A 12,413-nucleotide genomic window follows, 5' to 3' on the forward strand; every position below is an offset into this window, starting at 1 on the left:
CTCTCAGCATATGAACAAAATTGAAGAACTACAAATGGTAGTTTGTGGGAAAGAATGCACACGAGGGTTGTGGTTCATCTGTGGACTATTGCAGTCCTTTTTAAGAGCAGTATTTACGAGTCCTAAAGGGCATTAAGGAAACTTCCTTGACAGCCATTAAGAATCAGAATAGGGAAGATGAAGAGTTCTGTAGTATCATGTTTGTGTTATAAATTTGAAAATTAATGCACAGCTTCGGGGATTCTGTTCCAAGATGGCTGAAGAGGAACAGCGCTAGTCTGCAGCTCCCAGTGTGAACGATGCAGAAGATGGGTGATTTCTGCATTTCCAACTGAGGTACCTGGTTCATCTCACTGGGACTGGTTGGACAGTGGGTGCAGCCCACAGAAGGCAAGCCGAAGCAGGGCGGGGCATCGCCTCACCTGGGAAGTGCAAGGGGTTGGGGTATTTCCCTTTCCTAGCCAAGGGAAGCTGTGACAGATGGTACCTGGAAATATGGGACACTCCCACCCAAATACTGTGCTTTTCCAATGGTCTTAGCAAATGGCACACCAGGAGATTATATCCTGCACATGGCTCGGCGGATCCCATGCCCAAGGAGCCTTGCTCACTGCTAGTGCAGCAGTCTGATATTGACCTGTGAGGCAGCAGCCTGGCAGGGGAAGGGGTGTCCACCATTGCTGAGGCTTCAGTAGGTAAACAAAGTGGCCAGGGAAGCTCAAACTGGGCGGAGCCCACCGCAGCTCAGTAAGGCTGGCTGCCTCCATAGTCTCCACATCTGGGGGCAGGGCATAGCTGAATAAAAGGCAGCAGAAACTTCTGCAGACGTGAAAGTCCCTGTCTAACAGCTCTGAAGAGAGCAGTGGTTCTCCCAGCATGGTGTTTGATCTGAGAGAATGGAAAGACTGCCTCCTCAGGTGGGTCCCTGACCCCCGTGTAGCCTAACTGGGAGACACCTCCCAGTAGGGGCCAACTGACACCTCATACAGGTGGGTGCCCCTCTGGGACAAAGCTTCCAGAGGAAGGAGCAGGCAGCAATATTTGCTGTTCTACAACCTCCACTGGTGGTACCTAGGCAAACAGGGTCTGGAGTAGACCTGCAGCAAACTCCAACAGACCTGCAGCTGAGGGATCTGACAGTTAGAAGGAAAACTAACAAACAGAAAGGAATAACATCAACATCAACAAAAAGCACATCCACATCAAAACCCTATCTCTAGGTCACCAACATCAATGACCAAAGGTAGATAAAACCGCAAAGATGGGGAGAAACCAGAGCAGAAAAACTGAAAATTCTAAAAACCAGAGCACCTCTACTCCTCCAAAGGATCACAGCTCCCCGCCAGCAACAGAACAAAGCTGGATGGAGAATGACTTTGACAAGCTAACAGAAGTAGGCTTCAGACAAACTTCTGAAGTTTAACAAACTTCTCTGAGCTAAAGGAGGATGTTCGAACCTATCGCAGGGAAGCTAAAAACCTTGAAAAAAGATGAGATGAATGGCTAACAAGAATAAACAGTGTAGAAAAGACCTGAAATGACCTGATGGAGCTGAAAACCATGGCACGAGAACTGTGTGACGCATGCACAAGCTTCAATAGCCAATTCCATCAAATGGAAGAAAGGGTATCACTGATTGAAGATCAAATGAATGAAATAAAGAGAGAAGAGAAGTTTAGAGAAAAAACAGAAAAAAAAACAAACAAAGCCTCCAAGAAATATGGGAATATGGGACTATGTGAAAAGACTAAATCTACATTTGATTGGTGTACCTGAAAGTGACGGGGAGAATGGAACCAAGTTGGAAAACACTCTTCAGGGTATTATCCAGAAGAACTTCCCCAACCTAGCAAGGCAGGCAAACATTCAAATACAGGAAATACAGAGAACACCACAAAGATACTCCTTGAGAAGAGCAACCCCAAGACACATAATCGTCAAGTTCACCAACGTTGAAATGAAGGAAAAAATGTTAAAGGCAGCCAGAGAGAAAGGTCGGGTTACCCAAAAAGGGAAGCCCATCAGACTAACAGTGGATTTCTCTGCAGAAACCCTACAAGCCAGAAGAGAGTGGGGGCCAATATTCAACATTCTTAAAGAAAATAATTTTCAACCAAGAATTTCATTCCAGCCAAACTAAGCTCCATAAGTGAAGGAGAAATAAAATCCTTTACAGACAAGCAAATGCTGAGAGATTTTGTCACCACCAGGCCTGCCTTGCAAGAGCTCCTGAAGGAAGCACTAAACATGGAAAGGAATAACCGGTACCAGCCACTGCAAAAACATGCCAAATTGTAAAGACCATCGATGCTAGGAAGAAACTGCATCAACTAATGGGCAAAATAACCAACTACCATCATAATGACAGCATCAAATTCACACATAAAAATAATAACCTTAAATGTAAATGGGCTAAATGCCCCAATTAAAAGACACAGGCTGGCAAATTGGATAGAGTCAAGACCGATCAGTGAGCTGTATTCAGGAGACCAACTCAAGTGCAAAGACACACATAGGCTAAAAAGAAAGGGATGGAGGAAGATCTACCAAGCAAATGGAAAGCAAAAAAGGCAATTCTAGTCTCTGATAAAACAGACTTTAAACCAGGAAAGATCAAAAGAGACAAAGGGGGCCATTGCATAACGGTAAAGGGATCAATTCAACAAGAAGAGCTAACTATCCTAAACATATATGCACCCAATACAGGAGCACCCAGATTCATAAAGCAAGTCCTTAGAGACCTACAAAGAGACTTAGACTCCCGCACAATAATAATGGGAGACTTTAACACCCCACTGTCAATATCAGACAGATCAACGAGACAGAAGTTTAACGAGGATATCCAGGACTTGAACTCAGCTCTGGACCAAACTGACCTAATAGACATCTACAGAACTCTCCACCCAAAATCAACAGAATATACATTCTTCTCATCACCATATCGCACTTATTCCAAAATTGACCACATAGTTGGAAGTAAAGCACTCCTCAGCAAATGTAAAAGAACAGCAATGACAGCAAACAGTTTCTCAGACCACAGTGTAATCAAATTAGAACTCAGGATTAAGAAACTCACTCAAAACCACACAACTACATGGAAACTGAACAACCTGCTCCTGAGTGACTACTGGGTAAATAACAAAATAAAGGCAGAAATAAAGATGTTCTTTGAAACCAATGAGAATGAAGACACAACGTACCAGAATCTCTGGGACACATTTAAAGCAGTGTGTAGAGGAAAATTTATAGCACTAAATGCCCACAAGAGATAGCAGGAAAGATCTAAAATCGACACACTAACATCACAATTAAAAGAACTAGACAAGCAAGAGCAAACACATTCAAAAGCTAGCAGAAGGCAAGAAATAACTAAGATCAGAGCAGAACTGAAGGAGATAGAGACACGAAAAACCCTTAAAGAAATCAATGAATCCAGGAGCTGGTTTTTTGAAAAGATCAACAAAATGGACAGACCATTAGCAAGACTAACAAAGAAGAAAAGAGAGAAGAATCAAATAGACGCAATAAAAAATGATAAAGGGGATATGACCATGGATCCCACAGAAATACAAACTACCATCAGAGAATACTATAAACTCCTCTACGCAAATAAACTAGAAAATCTAGAAGAAATGGATAAATTCCTCAACACATACACCCTCCCAAGACTAAACAAAGAAGAAGTTGAATCTCTGAATAGACCAATAACAGGCTCTGAAATTGAGGCAATAATTTAATTAATAGTTTACCAACCAAAAAAAGTCCAGGACCAGAAGGATTCACAGCCGAATTCTACCAGAGGTACAAGGAGGAGCTGGTACAATTCCTTCTGAAACTATTCCAATCAATAGAAAAAGAGGGAATCCTCCCTAACTCATTTTATGAGGCCAGCATCATCCTGACACCAAAGCCTGGCAGAGACACAACAAAAAAAGAGAATTTTAGACCAATATCCCTGATGAACATTGATGCAAAAATCCTCAATAAAATCCTGGCAAACCGAATCCAGCAGCACATCAAAAAGCTTATCCACCATGATCAAGTGGGCTTCATCCCTGGGATGCAAGGCTGGTTCAAAACACGTAAATCAATAAACGTAATCCAGTATATAAACAGAACCAACAACAAAAACCACATGATTATCTCAATACATGCAGAAAAGGCCTTTGACAAAATTCAACAACACTTCATGCTAAAAACTCTCAATAAAATAGGTACTGATGGAACATATCTCAAAATAATAAGAGCTATTTATGACAAACCCACAACCAATACTGAATGGGCAAAAACTGGAAGCATTCCCTTTGAAAACTGGCACAAGACAGGGATGCCCTCTCACCACTCCTATTCAACATAGTGTTGTAAATTCTGGCCAGGGCAATTGGGCAAGAGAAAGAAATAAAGGGTATTCAATGAGGAAATGAGGAAGTCAAATTGTCCCTGTTTGCAGATGACATGATTGTATATCGTCTCAGCCCAAAATCTCCTTAAGCTGATAAGCAACTTCAGCAAAGTCTCAGGATACAAAATCAATGCACAAAAATCACAAGCATTCCTATACACCAATAACAGACAACCAGAAAGCCAAATCATGAGTGAATTCCCATTCACAATTGCTTCAAAGAGAATAAAATACCTAGGAATCCAACTTACAAGGGATGTGAAGGACCTCTTCAAGGAGAACTACAAACCACTGCCTAATGAAAAAAAAGAGGACACAAACAAATGGAAGAACATTCCGTTCTCATGGATTGGAAGAATCAATATTGTGAAATGGCCATACTGCCCAAGGTAATTTATGGATTCAATGCCATCCCCATCAAGCTACCAATGACTTTCTTCACAGAATTGGAAAAAACTACTTTAAATTTCATATGGAACCAAAAAAGAGCCCCCATATCCAAGACAATCCTAAGCAAAAAGAACAAAGCTGGAGGCATCACGCTACCCGACTTCAAACTATACTACAAGGCTACAGTAATCAAAACAGCATGGTACTGGTACCAAAACAGAGATATAGACCAATGGAACAGAACAGAGGCCTCAGAAATAACACCACACATCTACAACCATCTGATCTTTGACAAACCTGACAAAAACAAGCAATGGGGAAAGGATTCTCTATTTAATAAATGGTGCTGGGAAAACTGGCTAGCCATATGTAGAAAGCTGAAACTGGATCCCTTCCTTACACCTTATACAAAAATTAATTCAAGATGGATTAAGACTTAAATGTTAGACCTAAAGCCATAAAAACCCTAGAAGAAAACCTAGGCAATACCTTTCAGGACACAGGCATGGGCAAAGACTTTATGACTATAACACCAAAAGCAATGGCAACAAAAGGCAAAATAGACAAATGGGATCTAATTAAACTAAAGAGCTTCTGCACAACAAAAGAAACTACCATCAGAGTGAACAGGCAACCTACAGAATGGGAGAAAGTTTTTGCAATCTACCCATGTGACAAAGGGCTAATATCTAGAATCTACAAAGAACTCAAACAAATTTACAAGAAAAAAAACAACCCCCCCAAAAATGGGCAAAGGAAACCAACAGACACTTCTCAAAAGAAGACATTTATGCAGCCAATAGACACAAGAAAAAATGCTCATCATCACTGATCATCAGAGAAATGTAAATCAAAACCACAATGAGATACCATCTCACACCAGTTAGAATGGTGATAATTAAAAAGTCAGGAAACAGATGCTGGAGAGGATGTGGAGAAATAGGAACACTTTTACACTGTTGGTGGGAGTGTACATTAGTTCAACCATTGTGGAACACAGTGTGGCGATTCCTCAAGGATCTAGAACTAGAAATACTATTTGACCCAGCAATCTTATTACTGGTATATACCCAAAGGATTATAAATCATGCTACTATAAAGACACATGCACATGTATGTTTATTGCAGCACTATTCACAATAGCAGAGACTTGGAACCAACCCAAATGTCCATCAATGATAGACTGTATTAAGAAAACATGGAACATATACATCATGGAATACTATGCAGCCATAAAAAAGGATGAGTTCATGTCCTTTGCAGGGACATGGATGCGCTGGAAACCACATTCTGAGCAAACTATCACAAGGACAGAAAACCAAACACCGCATGTTCTCACTCATAGGTGAGAATTGAACAATGAGAACACTTGGACACAGAGCGGGGAACATCACACCCTGGGGCCTGTCATTGGGTTGTGGGAGGGCAGGGGAAGGGATAGCATTAGGAGAAGTACCTAATGTAAATGATGAGTTAATGGGTGCAGCAAACCAACATGGCACATGTATACCTATGCAACAAACCTGCACTTTGTGCACATATACCCTAGGACTTAAAAGCATAATTAAAAAAAAAAGAAAAAAAAAGAAAATTAATGCACAGCTTCAATAGCAATGTTTCCTAAGCCAGATACCTCTGTTTTCTGCTGTGTTTGCTATATTCACCACTGTTCATGCAGTTCTTGATACAATGCCTGCTGTGCAAAACTCAAGAATATTTATTAATGAAAGAATGACTCAGCCGGGCATGGTGGCTCATGCCTATAATCCCAGCACTTTGGGAGGCCGAGGCAGGTGGACCGCTTGAGGTCAGGAGTTCAAGACCAGCCTGGCCAACATGGTGAAATCCCATCTCTACTAAAAATACAAAAAATTAACCAGGGGTGGTGGTGCATGTCTGTAGTCCTAGCTACTCAGGAGGCTGAGGCAGGAGAATCACTTGAACCTGGGAGGCGGAGGTTACGGTGAGCTGAGTTCATGCCACTGCACTCCAGCCTGGGTGACAGAGCAAGACTCTGTCTCAAAAAAAAAAAAAAAAAGAAAAAGAAAAAAAGGAATGACTCTCACAATTCAATATTTCACTTTTTCAAGTCCCATAGTAGCTCTTTTTTTTATTCTAAGTTAAAGAAAAGGTGAATTTTTCTAAATAGCAATATAGAAATAATAATATATTTGGGATTCTTTACTGCATCTAATTTTGAATTACCCATACCTGCATGTTTGGTGGAGCTGGAACTATTCAGATTTCTATTCATTGGGATACATTTAACCCATATTACATGCTTATAGAGCAAAGACATCAAACAAACTGTTTTAGAATATGAGATGTTAAAGAAAAACATGATCTCAAATCCTAGGCAAACGCAGTGCAGCATATGAATGTGTTGGGTAGTAGCTTTCATGTATAGCAGAATAGCGTTAGGCATGTTGCAAAGTTCTAGTATCAATTTCCAACAATTTCCTTTTTATCAATTCCTGTGATCATCTCTGAGAAGCCTCTAACATAATGTGTCTTCTGCTAACACTACTGGCACAGCATTATCCACAGACTTTTTACATGCTAATCCTAGCCACAGACCTTTGGTGATTCTTTCCCTTATCATCCACTCCCTGGGCTCTTTGGTGTGGGATTGAAGAAGAGAAGCCTCAGAGAAGCATTGCTTCTGAGGAAGAACTAGATACGTGGCGAAGGTGTAGTATGTTTGAGAGACAATACAGTGAAAGGAACGAATGAAACAAGAGGTGAAAATTAAGGAACTTGAGAAAATGAAAGCAAAACAAGACACCTGACTGGTCTTCTGCTCACTGTCCCTTCCATCCATTAAAGAAACTACACAGAGGGGAGCATAAGTGACAGAATAATGTGATTTTAAACATTCCACACTGTCAAAAATATGAGTAGGAATAGAAAAAAAATCAGACTGCACTCATGTAAAACTACTACAAAAAATCAGTAAATAGAAGTCTCTGCTGATTAAAAGCCTTTTCATAAAAGCATTCATGAAGCTGACAAAAAGGTATAACACTCCAAACTGCACAAAAAAGTTTGTGTATGGGAAAAATTACTTAGACTCAGAAAAACAAGAACTAAGAACAGGAATGGAAAGACAACAAGAATAAATAAAAGGGAAGTTAATTGAGCTCAGGAAAGAAATAGAAGAAAACTATAAATTTATATCAGACATGAAAGCACATGGAGAACTAATGCAAAAAAAATCAGGAAGCAAAATTTTACACATATCAAGTAATGAAAATACAAGCAAAATAATAATCATAAAACAGACTGTAACTCTAAGTTGATGATCAAATAGAATCAAATATAATGAGTCATTAGTGAAAATAAAAGATCACCTTGAATCAGAAATTCTAGGCTGGGTGCAGTGGCTCATGCCTTTAATCCCAGGACTTCGGGAGGCTGAGGTAGGTGAGGTCAGGAGTTCAAGACCAGCCTGACCAACATGGTGAAATCCTATCTCTACTGAAAAAAAAAAAAAAGTACAAAAACTGGCTGGGCTTGGTTGTGCACACCTGTAATCCCAGCTACTTGGGAGGCTGAGGCAGGAGAATTGCTTGAACCCGGGAGGCAGAGGTTGCAGTGAGCCGAGATCGCATCACTGTACTCCACCTGGGTGATAGAGCAAGACTCCATCTCAAAAAAAAAAAAAAAAAAAGAAAGAAAGAAAGATTAAATCTAAAAGCAGAAATGGACAAAGAAGAAGAGAGAAATATAAAAGAGTTGACTAACTCAGGAAAGAAGTGGAAGAAAAAGACAATTTTCTGAGAAATGAAGAAATAAATTGCAAGTAGCCAAGAGATAATAGATTTGAATGGCCAGGTGTGGTGGCTCATGACTTGAATCTTAGCACTTTGAGAGGCCTAGGAACGTGGATTGCTTGAGCCTAAAGTTTCAAGATCAGCCTGGGCAACATAGTGAGACATGTCACTCTCTCTATATATCATAAAGGAAAATTTAATAAAAGGTATTGAAGAAAGGTGAAAGGCAATCAAGGAAAAAGACATAACATAGAGAAGAGAGTTTTAGAAAAAAGTCAAAGAGAAAGTCATAGAAATGGACAACTGCTAGAGAAGCAGTAATATTCATATTATCAGAATACATAAAGAAGAAAAATAATGGAAGAGAAGTTATCTAGTAACTGAAGTTATTATTCACAAAAACTTTCCATACACAGTGAAATGGTTCCTTGTGTACCTGAGAAGATTAAAGCTGAATGACCAACTTCTGGACATCTTCTAGACAAATTACCAAAAATACAGATAATTTCCTCAATATCCATTTCCTCCGGGAAATGGATAATTTACAAAGACAAAGGAATTAGACTAATTCCTTTTAACATCCACTTGTAAAGCAAGGAGACAATGGAGCAGCACTTTCAGAAAACTCAGTGAAAGAAAATGTGAACCGGGGATTTTATGTACAGCCAAACTGTCCTTCACGCATCAACCAATATATAGTTTTTAACATACAAGAATTTAGGAAATACTGAGACAATCATTCCTTCCTAAGTAGACCTTCCTAATCTACTGGAGAGATGAGCTTCATCCAACAGAGTGATGACTGGGGAAAATTCAGACAAAGCATTGATATGAGCATTATAAAATATATATATATATATTATAATATATATAATATATAAAGTATATACATGTTTATATATCAGTGAGCATTATAAAATATATAAATAAGATAAAGCATTATAAAATATATAAATAAAATAAAGTTTGGAATAAGTATAGAAAAACAATATCCAAATGTTATATATTATGACAAAGTAGAAATAAAGCATTCATTAAAAATAGAAGGGAGAGGGAGCCGGGCGCGGTGGCTCATGCCTGTAGTCCCAGCACTTTGGGAGGCCGAGGCGGGCAGATCACGAGGTCAGATGATCGAGACCATCCTGGCTAACACGGTGAAACCCCTTCTCTACTAAAAATACAAAAAAATTAGCCGGGCATGGTGACGGGTGCCTGTAGTCCCAGCTACTCAGGAGGCTGAGGCAGGAGAATGGTGTTAACCTGGGGGCAGAGCCTGCAGTGAGCCGAGATCGTGCCACTGCACTTCAGCCTAGGCGACAGAGAAAGACTCCGTCTCAAAAAATAATAAATAAATAAATAAATAAATAATAAATAAAAATAGAAGGGAGAGGGAACTAAGAAATAGATGAAGTTATTGTTATATGTTAATCGGTGGTATTTACAGATTCCAAACACCAAAACAAAAAAACCGTGATATATCAAATAGTAAAGGTTAAATAAGAAAAATAAGGGGGGGATTAGGACATGTAAAAAACTATAAATGCAAAACTAGTTAATAAAACAAAATTACAAATATTCCTAAATGCCAAAAACTGGAATATATATCTAAAATACATAAGCACATAAATATACAATATTTATATTAAAAAGGAAATATATGGAAAGTATATATTTACATCATCTATCTATATTCACATGTCTATAAAGAATACACATATAGAGAGAAGCATACAAAATAAAATACATATAATCATAAAATATTTTGATAGTGAAGATGACACATATTGGTCATAATAAATCAACTTATCTATTACAAGAATAAGATGCTCAATTTAGTTCACAAAATGTACCCCAACTCTGTGGTGTATTCAAGAGACACAAAGTAATTCAGAAAAGCTAAAAATAAAGAAACAGACTCATTTATACCAGGCAAATGGAAACAAAAAGAGCAGGTTAGCAATCCTAATGTCAGAAAAATAATTAAATCCCAAAGACATTAGATGTGACAAAGAAGGTGTTTTTTTTTTTCTAACACTAAAGGCTACAGTTCACAGTGAAGATAAAATACCTGTGGCTATCTATATGCACAAATAAAATAGCAATCATCTTTATGAAACAAAACTACAGGGAGGACAAGGAGACTTACTTAGAAATACACTAATAATAGGAGACTTTAATATACCTCTCACAGTATAAGATAGATAAAGTTGACAAAAAAATGAGATAGACAATTTAAACAACATAATCGATTGAGCAGATCTTGTGGATGTACATCAAACCGTACAACATGATAATAGAGTATATGTATTCTTCTCAGGTGCACATGACATGGATCACGTGTTAGGAAATGAAGAACATGTCAGTAACTCTTAAAAACCAGAAATATTGTAAGGCACACCTTCTGGTCACAAGGCAACAAAACTATAATTTGCTACAAAAACAAAAGTAGCAACAAAAGGAAAGTCTCTTCTATCTAGACCTTAAAACAATTCCTATTATAGTAGAATGATTTATAATCCTTTGGGTATATATCCAGTAATGGGATTGCTGGGTCAAATGGTATTTTTGGTTCTGGATCCTTGAGGAATCATCACACTCAATGTTTATTGCAGCACTGTTCACAATAGCAAAAACTTGGAACCAACCCAAATGCCCATCAATCATAGACTGGATAAAGAAAATGCAGCACATATGTACCATGGAATACTATGCAGCCATAAAAAAAGGATGAGTTCATGTCCTTTGCAGGGACATGGATGAAGCTGGAAACCATCATTCTCAGCAAACTAACACAGGAACAGAAAACCAAACACCGGCCGGGTGCCGTGGCTCATGCCTGTAATCCCAACACTTTGGGAAGCTGAGGCAGGTGGATCATCTGAGGTCAGGAGTTTGAGACCAGCCTGACCAACATGGAGAAACCTCGTCTCTACCAAAAATAAAAAAATTATCCGGGCATGGTGGTGCATGCCTATAATCCCAGCTACTTGGGAGGCTGAGGCAGGAGAATCACTTGAACCTGGGAGACCGAGGTTGCAGTGAGCTGAGATCTTGCCATTGCAGTCCAACCTGGGCAACAAGAGCGAAACTTTGTCTCAAATAAATAAAAAAAATAAAAAAATAAAACCAAATACCGCATATTCTTACTCGTAAGTGGAAGCTGAACAATGAGAACACATGGACACAGGTAGAGGAACATCACACACCAGGGCCTGTCGAGGGGTGGGGGGTTAGGGGAGGGAGATAGCATTACGAGAAATACCTAATGTCGATGATGGGTTGATGAGTGCAGCAAACCACCATGGCAAGTGTATACCTATGTAACAAACCTGCACATGTATCCCAGAACTTAAAAAAAAAAATTCTATTAAAAGCTCCTGGATGTAGACCAGGCATGGTGGCTCACACCTGTAATTCCAGCACTTTAGGAGGCCAAGACCAGGAGTTCGAGATCAGACTGGCTAACATGGTGAAACCCTGTCTCTACTAAAACAAATACAAAAATTAGGCGGATGTGGTGGCACATGCCTGTAATCCTAGCTACTCAGGAGGCTGAGCCATGAGAATTGCTTGAACCCAGGAGGTAGAGGTTGCAGTGAGCTGAGATCAGGCCACTGCATTCCAACCTGGGGGACAGAGTGAGACTCTGCCTCAAAAACAAACAAACAAACAAACAAATCTCCTGGATGAAAGGGAAAACACAAACTGAAATGACAGATTTATGAAAATTCCTTGCTCTAAACACATTTTTCAATAAAAATGAGAGAAGACAAATAAATAAATTAAATTTTCAGCTCAAAACACTAGAGGAAAGAACAGCAACATAAATAAAAATAGGACACAAGATT

The 12,413-nt window shown here is 39.1% G+C and overlaps 1 long non-coding RNA gene across 2 annotated transcripts in view, besides 1 other annotated feature; it reads right to left on the bottom strand.

The window, feature by feature from the left end:
- NPSR1-AS1 (NPSR1 antisense RNA 1) overlaps positions 1-12,413 on the bottom strand; it is a 487,820-nt gene that overhangs the window by 84,574 nt on the left and 390,833 nt on the right. The gene's annotated exons all lie outside the window — the stretch shown is intronic.
- Positions 6,035-6,224: a silencer, noted in NCBI's record as "fragment chr7:34476732-34476921 (GRCh37/hg19 assembly coordinates)". NCBI's record gives its function as "represses an EF-1alpha promoter that drives an FKBP-Casp9 reporter gene in an ReSE screen in phorbol 12-myristate 13-acetate-treated (for megakaryocytic differentiation) K562 erythroleukemia cells {active_cell/tissue: K562(+PMA)}" and the evidence as "EXISTENCE:reporter gene assay evidence [ECO:0000049][PMID:32094911]".

Source organism: Homo sapiens, chromosome 7 (genome assembly GCF_000001405.40).
Source record: "Homo sapiens chromosome 7, GRCh38.p14 Primary Assembly".
Classification (NCBI taxonomy): domain Eukaryota; kingdom Metazoa; phylum Chordata; class Mammalia; order Primates; family Hominidae; genus Homo; species Homo sapiens.